Source organism: Homo sapiens, chromosome 1, assembly GCF_000001405.40.
Source record: "Homo sapiens chromosome 1, GRCh38.p14 Primary Assembly".
In the NCBI taxonomy this organism is placed as follows: domain Eukaryota; kingdom Metazoa; phylum Chordata; class Mammalia; order Primates; family Hominidae; genus Homo; species Homo sapiens.
Window position 1 is genome coordinate 97,821,893 of NC_000001.11, and position 17,891 is coordinate 97,839,783.

Sequence of the window (17,891 nt, forward strand, 5' to 3'; positions counted from 1 at the left end):
ATAAATCCTAGGAGATTTTAAATCCCATTTTACAAAAAAGTAAGAGTAAAATAATTAATTTACCTAAAATTACAGTTGGAGTCTCAAATCTGATTCTTACTATTGATTCCAGTATTTATTTCATATTTTTAGTTTTCTCCATTTTTCCTTCACTGTTTTTCTAATTATTCATAATATATTCCCATTACAGAAAATATAGAATGGAAAAGCATACGCCTCAAAAAATTATCTTTACGCCAACCAGCCAGATGTAATAGCCACATTTCATTCCTATTTTTTCTCTGCATTTTTTATATTCAGTTGAGATAATATTCTACAAGCAATTTTGTTTCTCTCTCTCTCTCTATATATATATACACACACACAGATTTATTTTAAATATATGTAAATCTGTGTATATATCTGTAAATATAAATATATTATATATCTGTATATATACACAGATTTTATATACTTTATAAATTTATAAATATTGTAAAATTCTAAATATGAATATATAAATAATATATATTTATATGTAATATATACATTTATATATATTTATGTTATATACATATAATTGCCTTGTCTATTGTCTTAATGGTAGACAATTAGTTCCTGTAAAATTTGTTCAGGGTTATATTCCATAATTTGAGTATCACATTCATATTATGCATAATTTCTATGGCTTCTGCATAATATATTCCTAGAAGGTAAATTAATACAAAAAAAAGTATGTTTGTTTTAAGTCTCTTAATACTTAGTGACACAATCCTTTCCTTAAATGCAGCAGTAATTTTCAATCCTCTGAGAATGTGAGAATGGCTGTCTCACCATTCCATCTCTAGCCATCTGTGAGAATGGCTGTCTCGCTATTCCATCTCTAGCACTCAAAAACTTCCCACCAAACTGCATTAGCAGCAATAAGCAAGAGATTGGTGTATTTTTTGTGAAATTTACACTTTTTGTTTGCCATTAGAGTTGAATATTTCCAAGGGTTACTTAATCATAGTTTGCCAATTATCTACTGAGTTCCCAATTTTTAAAATCTGTCATACATATGGCAATATAGTACATTGATGTCTTTTAATTTTGTGATTGTCCCCATTTGCATAAGTTTTTTAAAATAAGTTTGTTTTTAATTGGCACATAATAGTTGCACATATTTATTGGATACAGTGTGATGTTTCAATACATATTAGATTGTGTAATGATCAAATCAAGGTAATTAGCATATCTATTACCTCAAACACTTGTCTTTTTTTGTTTGTTTGTTTTGTTTTTTGTTTTTTGTTTTTTTTGAGACGGAGTCTCACTCTGTCACCCAGGCTGAAGGGCAGTGGCGTGATCTCTGCTGACTTCAAGCTCCACCTCCCCGGTTCATGCCATTCTCCTGCCTCAGCCTCCAAAATAGCTGGGACTACAGGCCCCCGCCACCATACCCGGCTAATTTTTTGCATATTTAGTAGAGACGGGGTTTCACCGTGTTAGCCAGGATAGTCTCCATCTCCTGTGACAACACTCCAAATTTTCTCACGTTATTTTAAAGTATACAATATATTACTGTTGACTATAGTCACCTTACTGTGCTATAGAACACCAACCTCTCCCCATTTCCACTCCACACTACTCTCCCAAGCTTCTGGTAACCACTATTCTACTCTCTACTTCTATGAGATGAACGTCTTTAAATTCCACATAAAAGTGAGATCATGCAGTGTTTGCCCTTCTGTGATTAGCTTATTTCACTTAACATTAACATTTTCTAGGTTGATCCATTTTCTTGCAAATGACGGAAGCTTTTTTTTTTATTATTGGAATCAAAGCTTAGTGATTTCTTCACCTACTTGTTAGCGTATCATCTCTTCCCCCATCTCAATCTCAAAAGTCACTTCTATATTCCACTGGACTTTGACTGTTTCATTTATTTCCCTTAGCTCTTTAAAAATGCATGAAATTTCCTTTGGGCCATGTGAAGTGAGACTACAAAGTCTTTTTTTTTTTTTTTTTTTTTTTGTCCAAACAGCAAAAACAAACAAGTAAACAAACAAACAAAAAAAACCTTTTATACCATTTACTGGGTGATTGAACATGTCCTGAACTACTTGGGGTACTTCATCATATAATAACTTCATCAGATCTTTATAGTATCTATTATCAATTACAGACACTATTTGTTTTAAATAACACGCAGAAGAACTTAAGAATTTCCATCTTCATTTTGAATACAATCACATTAAAAGATGTCAAATTCTTAGGGAGGTTTTGTTGTTAATTCTGTTGGGCTTTCTAGGTATAAATTATGTCTTTATAAAATAAGAGCTACCTTGTCTCCTCTATATCAAATTATACTTTTTAGTTTTGGTTTTACATCTATTACCAGGTTATGGATCTACCTTTTACTATTAGTTTTCTAAGAAAGTAAGTGTATCTATGTGTGATGTGTGTGAACATGGTTTAGCTTCACTCTGGCCTCTCCATTGTTGAGAACTCTGTTAAGTGAGAGGCAGTCAAGTGTCATATTAGCAACACAAAAACTTCCCTTTAGGGCAGCACAGAACAAACCACAGCCACTAACCACATATAAGTATTTAAATTTAAATTAATAAAAATTAAGTAAAATTAAACATTCGGTTCTTCAGTTACACTCATCGCATTTCAGGTACTCAGTGGCCATATGTGGCTGAGGGCTCTCACACTAAATGGCACAGATGGAGAACATTTCTCTCATCACAGAAAGGTCTGGGCAGCATTGGTCTAGATGTCTCTAAGAGCCACAGAAAAACGGCCAGGAATTCCATTCCCCTGTCCTTTTCTTCTTAGGCACATTATATTTCAGTCTAGTCTTACTCTGTTAGAGAAGGTTATTCAGAATTTTAAATCCCAAAATATGTTTTTTCTGGCACGTATTTTCCTAAGCCCTGTATTTTCGTAGACATCTGGCTGGACTCTCCTTCTTTCTTATCCCAATGCACTATTCTTGGAAATCATATGCCTTCCCTTGGCTACAACAAGTATCAAAATACTAACAAGTCTCAAATGCGCACATCAACTCTCAGTCTTTTCCTTGAGTTGTTGCATTGTATTTTCCCTCTGCCTATTGCACATTTACACGAGTTAACCTCAGCTATCTCACAGTCACCTGAAAACCCAAATCTTCACTAATCCTCTTTTTTTCTCTCTCTCTACATCAATTAATGTATTTATTTAACGTTTTATTTAGCTAGCATATTCCAGAGAAGGTTGTAACCCCTCGTCCTTTTTACACACCAGGGCTACAGGCTCAGGGCATCCTCAAGACTGGGATCAGGAGGAAGCATGGGAGGGATCTAAAGTGATTTGTAAACTCGGATACTGACAAGAAACCAGATTCAAGACTGCACAGCAAAGACTGGCCAGAAAGAGAGACTGGATGAGGTGGCTAAGAATCCTCTCTTTTCTGTTCTAAGCTCATAGAAATAGTAAAACCTAAATAAATAAGGAGGTACCCAAGATGGTGAAAGGCCCCCCAACACTGCAGCCACAATAGGACAATCTTCAGATGTGGGTCCAACTCTGTTCCAGTTACTCCTGGCTAGACACACTCAGGACAAGAACACCACTGTGGGGACCTGGAGCCACTTAGGGGCTGCTAAAGAGATCAAGCTAATAAGAAAAAGGGATGCTCCATGTTCTCACCCACAGGTGGGAATTGAACAATGAGAACACTTGGACACAGGAAGGGGAACATCACACACCAGGGCCTGTCATGGGGTGGGGGGAGGGGGGGAGGGATAGCATTAGGAGATATACCTAATGTGAATGACGAGTTAATGGGTGCAGCACACCAACATGGCGCATGTATACATATGTAACTAACCTGCACGTTGTGCACATGTACCCTAGAACTTAAAGTATAATAAAAAAAAAAGAAAGAAAGAAAAACGGATGGTCCCATAGCCAAGCTATGCCAGGCCAATGGACTAACAGAGAAGCTACCATGAAATATTCTGGGCCAGGGAAAAGACTGAAATACTCAGTCTCTGGGTCTTCACCTCAAGCATATTCCGAACACATTTTAAAAAGCACCTGACCCACCATATACTAAATTGTTGTATGCTATTAATTACTAAATTATTCCACTGTGTTTAATGAATCCAGACATTACCAATAATGTGTGTCTGTGTGTGTGTGTAAGTAAAATGTATAACTTAAGCAAACAAGTACATTTCATGCCATAAAATTAAATTCTCACTTAAATTATCCAGACTACTGCTTTGTCTCATAGAATGGGTGGTTGGCAAGTTATTCCAGGCAGGTAATACTTGTTTTTATCATCAGTTCATCTCTAGTTTTTTAAAAAACAGGACATCCTGGTATGTTCTAAAATGTTATGTATAACGAAATTTGGCAGAATTTAATCATCTCTTCATTTGAAGTTAATTCTTATAATTCAATTTGTTTTTTTCTTGAGGACAAATTTCCTACACTGATTACATATCCTTTCCTTGTTCCTTGTATTTTCCTCATTCACATCATTTTTCATTCACATTGCCTCTTTTCAGTTCTTTCTGTCTTTTGGTCTTCAGTTCTTTTATTCAAAGCATAAGAGTTGCCACCCTCTTTGTCTTCCTGTTTGTCTATGTATTTACTTCAAAATAAATAGATATAAAAATATAGAGAATAACTGCAGTTTTCCAAGTAAATATTGGCATGCATGTTTACTGTATTTAAACTTATCATAATAAGCATTTACAAAAAATGTTAAATTTATAGCAGTGGTAATTTTAGGATAAACCACTATGTATGGTGAAAATTAGAAATTCATTCATAATTTCTGCATTAGCTTTTTCCAAAACAAATATTTTACAACTTATTTTTAATTTGCTAAAATTTTCAATAACTTAAACTTTCTGAGAATATCTGATTGCATTTTATATAGATACAAATTCTCTATTGTGTACTCAGTTTTATTTTTCCCTCTTTTTTTTATTAGTAAAGACATTAACAATAAAATAGGCTCACTTGCTCCAGCTGGTAATTTCTCATACTAGTAATATATTATTCCTCTTTTTGTGACATCATAATCATCTATACAGAAGTACCATGTATCTTTGTGTAGAAGCTACTGTTTCCATTAAATTTAATTACCTCCCCCTGTGGTTTTAAATAGAAGTGGCTTCAAAATGAGGGCAGCTTCTATTAAATTTAATTACTTTCTCCTGCTGCTTGCATGGTAAAAGGAAGGTTACTAAATGAGAGCAGCTTCTAAACTAAAGTATATGGTAACTGTGTGCTAGCAATAACAAAATTGTATCTAAACTACCTTTCTAGGAAGCTCTTAGGTTTATCCTTTCTCTCATTTTAATCTCTTTAGCCTTAACATCCTTGAAAAATGAGCATTAAGATAGAAGAAGGCGTATTTTAAAAACATATTTTAATTTTATAGGCTAAATAAATATAAATACACTTTCTTTACAAAGATATTGGAAATTATGCTACTCAAATATTCAAGCTCAGAACTTTTAAGACTACTAACATTTGTTGTTTTCTCACTCTGTGGATGATGAGTTTTATTTCCCACAAATTTTCAATGTCTAATAAAAAGCCTTTCTTGATTCTGATCAAATAGATTTGAAAAATGCTTCACTAAAAGTTATTTAAAAGGCATCAAATTTGGGGCAATTTCATATAAATATTCAGAATTACTGATGTTAAGAAATGAAAAAAGAAAAAAAGTCAGGCTCATTATAGACCACTATAGTTGAAAGGAAGTTAATTATATGCTTTGTAATAGTGTAAAAATGTAAATCACTAAAAATACTATAATATAATATAATCCTATAAAATGTTATAGAAGATGAAAATGTAAGTACCTCTCTTTAAATTAAATATTAATTAGGAGGAAATACTACTCAATTAAAGCACCATTGTACAATGTTTATTTCTTTATATACAGGCAGAATTTAGATGAACAATATTTTCATTCAATCACACAGTTTAGTATAAGTATAAAACAAGACACCCCTTAAGCATTTTAAGTAACAAATTAAACATTTACATTTTTTACTGTGCACTGAGGCTTAACATTTATGCAGCTTCAAAACCAAAGTACAGCCTCAAGGGAAGTCTCTCCACTGACAAATTAATACCTTAGAGAACAGAGCTGAATGGTGGCAATGAACTCATTTGTTCCCCAAATAATGAAGAATGACTTTTTCTTTACCACATCTGTGACTGTTGCTATGGTGACCCAGACTTACCTCATTGCTTCTCGGAGAGCTCCTCGCTCACCAAGAGTCGTGTGCTTGATGTCATCAAAATTATTCTCCAGCTTCTCACAATTCTGCAACATATTTAAAAATTGCATTAATTCTCTAAGATCCTGAGAAAAATTGTATCTATGCAGTTATGCAAAAATGTAATTGATTATATTGATCATGGACTCATGAAAAATATGCATACCACTTTAATTGGGTAGCATTCATTAAAATTGACAGTTAAATCCAACAGTAACAAAATAAAAACATTTTATGATACAGCTGTCACAGAAGTCTCATTATCAATTTTTCAAAGTGGAGTTTCGTTATCAATTTTTCAAAGTGGATAAACAGAAGAAATGAATTTATAAAAGTAGGAAAACTTCTTAAGTTTGGAGGAATAAAAATTAGTTCTCTAAAATAATCTTAAGTATAGAAAATCCAATTTAAACTCAAAAGAGAAAACCATTAAGTTTTTGATCACCATAAACAGTATACAATAAATACCAAGTTCTAAATAAGCTAGCATTGACTAAGATGAAGGGATAGAGCACAGATATAATAATAAAAGTTTCAAAATTTTTGAATCAAAATTTTATAATCAGATCTTTAAATAACAATTTTATGTGTAATATTTACAACTGCACATATATATTTATATACTTGAAACTAAAGTTAAAATCTTAAAATTAGGTGAAAATTAGATTAGATCAGGTTCTTAGAAGAATTTTAAGATTGAGTAAATATGACATAAGCAGTTTAAATTTCATAAGTGTTTCTACTTTTTGGTAAAATAGCAATACTAGACTGAATTTTCTAAAAGTACTTTAAAAAATTTTTACTACAATTCTAAATATAATTATACGTACTTAAAACTCACTTAATCTGAGAGAACCCGAATAGGTTTTGAGGGCATAAATTGTAGAAATTTTCAATTTATATACATATATATATGAATCTTTTGGCACCCTAGATTTCTTATGGAATTTACTAGTATTTAGTTGATAAAATAACTAGATTTAGTGTATTACTTATTTTTACAGAAAGAAAAACTAAATGACAAAATTTTAGTATTAATATGTTCTTTCTATTCTTGAATAAGTATCCTGAATTTTACAAAATTACAGAAATTATATTAATAATGTCCAATGTATAAGAATGAATTGATTTGAAATATATTGGTATATAAACCACTATTTTTAACCTTGATATTTTTTAAAACTAAGTCAAATTAAGGCAAAGATCCTTTTAACAAACACACACAGTTATATGTTGTTATAATTAAAATCTTTGAAATTACCAAAATGAATCTACAATAATTAAAATTATATATTTTTCAAAAAGTCCATTTTGGGTATATACATTAAAAGTATCCTCTTCTGTCTTATCTTCCCACATTTTTAGAAGTGTCTTTCAATAAAGAGAACTGCTTAGCTGAGATCAAATTTGTTAGTTTTCTAATTTAAGTACAGTGTTTTTGTGTGCTGTTTAAGAAATTTAAAAACTTTCTCAAAGTTATAAATGTTGTTGATTGAGACCATTAAGAAAAAATACACATAATTTTTTGTTTGTTTCTTTTTGGCCCTGAAATTCCTCATCAGCTTCCTCCTCTTTGCCAATCCTACTGCAATCTTTTTTTTATTTCTTTTTTTTTTAATTATACTTTAAGTTCTAGGGTACAGGAACGTGCAGTTTTGTTACATAGGTATATATGTGCCATGTTGGCTTGCTGCACCCGTCAGCTCGTCATTTACATTAGGTATTTCTCCTAATGCCATCCCTCCCTCAGCCCCCCACCCCCAGACAGGCTCCAGTGTGGGATGTTCCCCACCCTGTGTCCATGTGTTCTCATTGGTCAATTCTCACCTATGAGTGAGAACATGCTGTGTTCGGTTTTCTCTCCTTGTGATAGTTTGCTGAGAATGATGGTTTCCAGCTTTATCCATGTCCCTTCAAAGGACATGAATTCATCCTTTTTTATGGCTGCAAAGTATTCCATGGTGTATATGGGCCACATTTTCTTAATCCAGTTTATCATTGATGGACATTTGGGCTGGTTCCAAGTCTTTGCCATTGTGAATAGTGCCTCAATAAACATATGTGTGTATCCTACTGCAATTTTTAACTTTACTTGGGCCTCCACCACTGTAGAGGAACAAGTTCATAAAAGAATTAAAGAAATAACAAAATTATTGGACATAAATTTTTTAAGGTCCATTCCTAGCATAAACAGCAGGGTTGGAAGATTACTTGACTATCTAGTTTTTCTAGCCACAGAGACAGGAGATAAACACATTCTTGGATTAAAATAAGAGACAGAAGCCTGGGCAGAGTGGCTCATGCCTGTAATCCCAGCACTTTGGGAGGCCGAGGTGGGCGGATCATGAGGTCAAGAGATGGAGACCATCCTGGCCAACATGGTGAACTCTGTCTCTACTAAAAATACAAAAATTAGCTGGGCATGGTGGGTGCACCTGTAGTCCCAGCTACTCAGGAGGCTGAGGCAGGAGAATTCCTTGAACCTGGGAGGTGGAGGCTGCAGTGAGCTGAGTTCGCGCCACGGCACTCCAGCCGGGGACAGAGTGAGACTCCATCTCAAAAAAAAAAAAAAAGAGAGAGAGAGAAAGTGGACACGTGGACACTGAGAGACTGTAGTAGCCACACTGAGTAGCCACACTGAGCGCTCAGTGATGCCAGGAATTGAAGACAGCCAAATTTCTGATTTAGCTGAAATACCGTGTTTCAGAGTACCTTCACTATAATGAGTAGAAGCGGCAACCTTAATAATAATTTTATCAGGAAGTGGTTAAAATGGCATATTCTGCCTTGATGTGGAATGGGAAACCCAAAATGAGTATTAGGCTAACTAACAGAAGAACAAATGCTCCATGTTTTACACTTTGTGTCTGCATGAAGTTTATTATACCCAACAGAACAACAAAGGAAATAAGTAAGCACTGTAGCATTTAAACAGTTAACTATTACCTTGACTAAAAATACTTCTGTATACAGAAATTGAAATCAAATCTATTTTTTATGCTTCAAGAACCATATGTAGAAGCACTAAGTAACAGACACATGATTTGAATTATATTTCAGACAATATTAGGCTCTTGCCATATAGAATAAGTATTTCAAGCAACTAACATCTTTATCTGCTCAAACTTCTCATAAATAAAAGTAAGCATTAAATATCCACTGAGTAAAGGGCAAACAGATTCACTGTCACGTTTACCACCAATAACACTTCTCTAACATTAAAGACAACTGCAGGTAAAATTGAGCCAGCGGCCTCCAATCAAAATCTGTTCTCAGCCCACTTTATATGAACATGGATCTGAGAAAAACTGTAAATTATTTGTAATCAACAAGTTATTCATTCTTGGGGATTCTGTAAGTTAGTATAGGACTGTCCCAGAATACGATTTCAGTGGTAAGTATCACATAGGGGACTTACTTTACAGGATAGGAAAGTTCATAAAAATTCAAAAAAATTATCCATGGTAGTGGCTTGTGATTTCCACCCTCCAAGTGCCTCCTAATTTCCTTTGACCAATATAATGGCATGAGAAACCTACAACCATCACAGCAGAAGAAAGGAAAAGGCAACAGATAAAAAGAGAAAAGGGGACAGAGAGAATGAATGAACAAACTACTCCTGAGAACAGCAAGCAGAAGAACAAAAATAATCAGTGATTAGTAATAAAATACTGGAACAAAACGCAGGCCTGCTAGCCTAGACAATGTGGAGCAAGAAAGTGGGAATACACAGGAAAAATGGAAGGTCACAAAGGTACTAAATTTAATGCCGACCAGACATGCCATGTAATATAACAGGCACAGGTTAGCTCTAATTAATTGGTAGAAAACTGAAAATTCGGAACAATTTGTATCAGCAACCATGGTACACATTATAGCTTTAATATATAATGTATTGTGTGTGTGTGTGTGTGTGTGTGTGTGTGTGTGTGTGTGTGTATTAATTATAGTAAACCAGTTAACATTGAGTAGTGACTCTGGGTTAGGTACTTTTTCTAGGAAGTCTAACCATTTAATCTGCATGACAACCATATGTATTCCTATTTTACAAATGAGGAAACAACCACAGGGGAGATTAAGATAAAGCTTGCCCAGGGTTATACAGCTAGCAAGGGATAAAGCAGGGATTTGAACCCAAGCAGTCTAGCCTCAGAGCCAGACTCAAACTCCTCGCGAGTCCGCTTCTAAAGAGTAAACTGCATAAGTGAATATAATAAAGTTCTGAATAGGCCTTCCTCTAGGTGTCATCAAATTTAAATACTGAGCTGGATGGAAAATAGTTTACTAGCAGAGTCAAATGTAGCAGAAGCTCTTGCAGGATTCTGTCTACATCTGTCTGGAAGTGCTATACTTTATAATGTAGAAAAATATGGAATCCAATATACACATTTAGGCCAAATTAATACCCATAAATATTTTGCATGCAACAGTCTTTATTTGGGTCTGTGACACCACCGTGACAAATATAATGAGCAATTAAATTCCCAAGTGTTCAGATTTTGGCAGCAATTGAAGTAGAAACTGGAAACTAAGCATCAAAAAGAACTGGTTTTGGTGGCCTCCTGCCAAATGAATCCCCATGGGTTGAGGGAAGGTCTAGAGTTTCAACTGTGATAGATTTCATAGTGTTTTATATCTCATCTGTGTTAAGGATTCTATAAAAGTATAATGAAACAAGTAGAACACCAACAGTCACATGAAAGAAAATAATATACAAGGAGATTTCAGAACGCTGAGGATTTTAAATAAAATTCACTGAGTTATCTTTGCTCAAATTATACCAAAAAAAATCACAAAATTCAACCAAACACCTACTGATTCTGGATGGAGGTGGAAAGAGGCAAAGAAAAAAAAAAAAAAAAGAACAGCTAGCAAATTACATTATTAAATAAAACAAATCACTGATAATTCCACAGGACTTTATTTCCATGGGACTGAATTTTTATGTTATAATTATGATAACTAAAACTAAATCAGATCTAAAATTTATATACAAACCTAAATTGAATAAATTAGGAAACCAATTTTAACAAATGAAAAGTCACAAAGAGTTAATGGCATAGCTACTGGAGTTTAAGTCTCAGAATTACTAAGTAACAAAGGCTCGAGTTAATGAATTAAATTTCAGTGCAGAAAAAAAAATCTTGAAAATCTATTACATGTCAGGAATAATACTATGCACAGGGATATGAAGGTAAATAAGACAAGACTTCAACTTGCTCACATGTAGTAAGAATACAGAGGAGAGAAAGGAAATAATTCTCTTGGAACAAGAGATGACTATGAGTTTGTTACTTCCAAACCTGTCTTTGAAATGATTTACAATTTTCCAGATTAAGAGAAAAAAAGGGGGAAGGCTAAGGTAATAAAATTGGCTCTAGCCTCAGACCTTACCATTACTGTCTACAGGCTAAGTCCTTAGGCAAGTTAATTAACTCAGTTTCCTCATCGTGAAATATACTTACCTTCTAGAGCTATCAACAAGATTAAATGAGGTAATATATGTAAATCCATTAGTACATTCAGCAACGACGTTTTCAATAAAGGTGGAAAAAGAGGAAAGAATAAACAGAAGAAGAGTATCCATGAACCCCAACTCAATCCTAATGGATCAGATTTTATATGGTGAAATAGAAAAAAATGTGCATTTTTCATGTTTAACCAGGTGATTTTTATGAATAATAAAGTAAAAGAAAGTCTTTATGGATTTTTTTAAACTTTTTGGTCATAAGACTCCTATGAGAGTATAATGAAAACCATGATCCTTTTCCTTAAAAAATTACATTTTCACAAAAGTACATATGCACAAGTACACAATATGCTATGCTATATACAATTTCAGTGGGCCAATACAGCTCCTGAAGCCCATCTATGGCCCAACGTCTATGTGCAACAAATTTTAGTATCAGGGAGGATGATTTCACAATGGACCTAGACAGCTTAGAAACGGAAGTTACAAATATAATCAGTAGTCCAAGAACCTTGTGAAACAAGGGGTCCAAAAGTTGGCAAATTTCTATTGCTGTTTGACAATAAAGCATCTTAAGTTCAAACATCAAATTTCTAATTTAAAAAAAGACACAAAAGTCAATCCTGTTGCCAAGCTAGAAATGAAAACCAGTCATTCATTCATTCATTCAATATTTATTTAGAACATAATGGGTGCTAGATAGTATGCTAATCATTGAGACACCAAGGTTTAAAACCTTTTTTTTAACTCCTTATTTTGAAAAAAAAAAGCCAATTCAATAGGGTAACTGTTATAAGGTAAATAGGCCTCACATCCATTGCCATGTATTAGTGATATATCAGCAATAATTACAAATCTCAGCTGGTTGAAAACCTGCAGGATACTAAATTTTGAAGGAACCTCAGAGAATTATCACAAGGGAAACCACCACTCTTATGAAGGCAATGATAAATTTCATATTTTAAAATATGAGGAATATTTAAATAAAATGGCACACTCCAACATGTACTGCTACAATTCTAAGGCAGTTCAATGTTGGTTACTACAAAGCTTTTCTTTAGGACATAAAGTAAATTGGGAAAAGGTAATACAAGTACATGCATTTCTCATGTAGTTAGAATTTCCTAAGGTCTAGGTTCCTCTAAAAAAAAAAAAATGAGTCAATTAGGTGAACTTACTCTTTCTGGAAAATGTTGTATCTTAATTTTTGCACTCAACAAGAAGTCTCAAAACTAGCCCTGCTGAAGTTCTTTATAAGTACAAGTAAGAAATAATTACTATATTCATATTTTTTTAATTCTAGATGAACATTCTACTGTCAATATATGATTTCCAGTTCTAATCAAGAGATTCATATTTCAATAGATAATTGCTTTTCCCTTTGGTGTGTCTTAACTAGTCTAATCCTTTCAGGGAACATTAAGAGGTAATCATATTTAGCTAATGTCATTTCACTAATTGTGGCCAGCTTACAATCAGGCCCTGTCTAGGAGAATCTTATATGAGTCACAGTGAAATACAATATAATGCAGTAGGAGAGGTAGGAGCTATGCAGAGAGAAAATTTGTTTTTGAGTTTCATCTCTACAACTAAACAGCTTATGTGTTCTTACAAAAATGCTTAACATCTCAATCTGCAAATAGTCCTTCATAAAATGAAGGTATCAATGAAGATGATGAAAGTAATATTATCCACTCAAAGTGTTATTGTAAAGATTAAAGTAAATAAAAACATGTATGTGAAAATATATACATTGTTCAAACATTATTACATATTTTTAAAAGATAGAATGAATCTCATTTCTGCCTTCATAGTCTGAAAGTATGTTAATTTTATTTGAAATATTTTAAGATTTCATCTCTCATACACAGTAAGAATTAAGTAATATTTTAGTACTTTTTTGAGATAAATTAAAAGTTTAGCTACAGTATCCTACCTGCTGATAATTCATTCCTATATCTATGAGAGGTCAACAAAGTTCAGGATAAAGTATTTGCTTTTTAATCATAATTTCATATTTAAAATTACAATGCGTTTGTTTGCATAATGTATGGTTATATTTTGATTGAGTCTCATATGGTTTACATGATAATCAAATGAAACACAGTATCATTATTTCAATATATATTGTGGAGTTCTATGTCCCATGTACTGCCAACCACAAACTATTATACAAATATTGATATTTACTATTTTGGAAGCCATTATAATTTACTTACTCACTTAATCTTGACAAGAGGGAAGGCTCTCCAAGAGCAATTTAAAAATGAAAATCTACTATTTCAACCAGGGAAGCCTGCTCACCTTTAAGCTCTGAACAATCTGACCCATCTCCACTAAATTAATTACCACCACAGGGAAACCACAGCTACACAACTGCTCTCTAGGATATTATCCCTATAAGGATAAAAAATTTGATGTAATCTAGAGGCTTTAAACTTAAAACAATCCCTTGTCCTTGATGGAGTTTTTGCTGAAGCATCTGGCAATCCCTGCTAGACTAAGTGGTGTCTAAGCAAATGAGGAAAACTTTGGTATCAGGGATGGGGTGCGGGTGGCAAAGTCAAATAAATCCACTGTTACTACTTGAACATCAGTGGTGTTCCTCTGTCTCAATTTTGGATGGTTAATTTTTTCATCTATGTTTATAGGACTATCACTCACTTAAGAATGTTAAATGTCTCATTTACTCAATCCAGTGATTTTGTTCATGCATTTATTAGTAACACAGAAAACACGTTATTCTTAGTCTTTGGAAATCAAGTTTTAATGTATGCTTAATCTAGTTAAAATATAGAAAAGTCTATTTAGATGGTATGGCTGTGTAATGCAGTGCATGATGTACTGTAATAACACCACCCAGTGTGTGTAAGATTAAAGTTAGACACCAGGTAAACTCACAGATGTAAACAGTCTTTTCTCTAGAACATACTTAGAAGGATCACTTATTTTAAAAATACGTTGTTTAAAAAACAATTAACATATGAATATGTATTACCTTAAGCTACCTCAATTCTCTGATTGGAAAAAAAAACCTTGAGATCACAATGGAGTGGGTCAGTTCAAACAGAAACAAGGAATTTACTAGATTAGGGCTCTAAAAATTAACAATCTTTGGTGTATCATGAATTTTAAATGTACATTACAAAGAAAAATATGCAAGCCAATTTAACATAAGTCTCAATAAATAGTGCCTAAATTGATAAACTGATTTTTGTTTACAAAGAAAAAATATGCCTAAGATTTCCATATACTGTACACAGTTATGGAATGGTTGGTACTAGATAGATATCAAATAAAAAACCTAAAATAGTATTCATGATCATTTATCTTTAAAAGCACATGTGTGCATTTTAATACATGAGGAAAGATTAATAGAACCATTTAAGTTTTTGTGTTAAGTTAAAATTCAGAGAAGCAATCATTTTTAAGTCACAAAAGATAAAGCCTTCCAATATCCTTCTGGTTTTGGAGGAATAAAGGCTTTTACTTGACAGTTACTTACATGAATTTGTATCAAAAAGAGAATTTGGCAGAGACTTCTAAATTCATAACAATTGTCTATTAGTCTGTTTTTAATAATTTTTCTTTGGCATGTAATCCTCTTTAATTAGATTCCACTCTCTGTTGTTTCAAGACTCCATAAACGGGTGTCTTATGTACCAGCTGCTAAAGCAGGAGTTACTGTCTAAATGATATTCACAATGAGTATTTAGAAGGTTTACAATTATACCCTTGCTAATAAATTGTGCTATTTTCCCCAACAATTTTAAGTGCTAATCTTCAGAAGGCATTTTAAAATTAGCTAAAATTCTGTCAAGAGATTTACAAAAATTGTTAGCATGAAGATAATTATGTCACAGTCCTTGGACTCCATCTCTGATTGTGTGCATAAATCAGAAAATGTCAGCTGTGTTTTCCCTTAATAATTATCCTTGCAGCAATATATTATAGTCTAAACTCCTATTATAATTTCTGTTTCTGGTTTCTAAAACACCAGACAGTTATTTCAAAAGTTTGGAACCGAATAAATAATTCATATTTCCCAGAATAATAAGTGATTATCAATTCTAAAATTGTAAGTATTAGCAATAAATAGATCAATATGGAAAAGATAAACTCTGTTTTCATAAACTCTCCATCCTGAAAAACCAAATGCTTGAATGTGATAATGACTTTTTAAAAATATTAATTAGGTAAAAATCTAACATAGCAGATAGTAGGCAAATAGAAGCAGGGATCTGAATAGAATTCTAAGGCACCCACTATTTTTTATTCCAACAGCACAGACACTTGAAACACAGATGTCTGAAATACATATCAAGTTGCTTATCATCTGATACTATCCAATTTTCTATATTTCTTATTAAGTATATAAAATTTTGACCCTCATTTTAGAAGATACAAAATAAAAAAGAATTTTTTGACTTTCATCCAAATATCAAAAATTATAAGTATGCTTTTATTTTCTCTGGTTAAACAGATTAGACCAGAAATATAATTTTTATGCAAGCTCAGTAATCATGTTAAAAACAAGTCTCAGACAGCAGTCTTTATAATAAATTAGCTAAGCATTTTGTTTAGTATGTTTCTAATACTATCAAGCATTTCAGAATTCACAAAGATAAAAAAATCCAGTTCTCTAAATACTTTAATGCTGTAGCATATCAAACTCAGGTTTATTATATAAACCATATAAATCCAGATATAATAGCAACGGTATGTGGCTCAGAGTTGTGGGTATTCAAAGACAAGTGAAAAACAGAATATATTTTCCTAGAACATTAGGTTCACGGAAACTATTTTGGAAAAAGGTTTTAAAATTTTGCTCATCAACTGTAATCAACAGAGTCAGATTTTTCAAGTTACTCAATATTGTGTTCTTTCCAATTGTGTGTTTCCTCGGAGTAGAAACAGTCATGTAACTTAAAAATAAAAGAACTTGGCCGGGCGCGGTGGCTCACGCCTGTAATCCCAGCACTTTGGGAGGCCGAGGCGGGTGGATCATGAGGTCAGGAGATCGAGACCATCCTGGCTAACAAGGTGAAACCCCGTCTCTACTAAAAATACAAAAAATTAGCCGGGCGCGGTGGCGGGCGCCTGTAGTCCCAGGTACTTGGGAGGCTGAGGCAGGAGAATGGCGTGAACCCGGGAGGCGGAGCTTGCAGTGAGCCGAGATTGCGCCACTGCAGTCCGCAGTCCGGCCTGGGCGACAGAGCGAGACTCCGTCTCAAAAAAAAAAATAAATAAAAAAATAAAAGAACTTGAGTATTACTACTGAAGTTAACATAAACTTTTCAATCACATCAAATGAACAGGGCCAATGCTAGAACAACAGGGACTATAGGAACTAGAATCCGTGATTTCCGCAGATCCTCATGAATCAATTTTCTGAAAAATAAGTTTATAGCCTTAAATCAGACTTCCTTACACCTTGGTTAAACCAACCAGCAAACAAAACTTTCTCCTACAAAATACATCCACTTCTTTCCAAAACCACTTCCTTTAAAAAACGTTTTAGTAACAAACATACTATTAACCTTCCTTCCTTTCACAGTATACTCCCCAATATATAAAGCATGTTGAAAATTACGCATATTGTAAATGGTTTAATTTTTTAACTTCAAATCTTAATATATTCAATTACAAAAGTAATATATGCCCTTTTATAAGAACTGAATACAAAGTTATGTAACAATAATTTTCTGTCTCCAACCTAACATCTAATTCTACTCCAGTGAGCTAGATTACTACCTTTCTATAGTTTTCCATGCTCACACAACACGTTTTATGTTGCAGCTTTTTGTGTGGGGTATGTGTGTGTACTTCTTGTTTCTCAGTGGGGTCTACTTACTTAAAAACATCAGTCAGCAATTCTTTGTGTGTGTGTGTGTGTGTACCACAAACAGGTGGATCTACCACCAGGTCAATAAATATGACTATAAAATTCCAAAAACTTCTCAATATTACATATTTTACTTAACAATTTTCTTAATGATGGAATCATAGTTTTATTTCCCTAGAATTTTGCTGTTAGGAATAATGCTATAATATATCCTTGTACATGTGTGATGGTGACTTCTCTTACTAGGGGATAAATTATGGTGAAAATGACAGGATCTTTTTTTAACCATTTTGATATACATTACTAGACAATTCACCAC

General features: G+C 33.2%; 1 protein-coding gene across 8 annotated transcripts in view; it reads right to left on the reverse strand.

Moving 5' to 3' along the window:
• The window catches only part of DPYD (dihydropyrimidine dehydrogenase), an 843,317-nt gene that overhangs the window by 744,150 nt on the left and 81,276 nt on the right, over positions 1 to 17,891 (reverse strand). For all 8 annotated transcript variants that reach the window (XR_001737014.2, XM_047448077.1, XM_017000507.2 and 5 more), the window contains 1 exon segment: positions 6,222 to 6,304. Coding sequence is in view for 7 of the 8 variants with exons in the window: in XM_047448077.1 (XP_047304033.1) it covers positions 6,222 to 6,304 (83 nt within the window). In the remaining variant the exon portion in view is untranslated.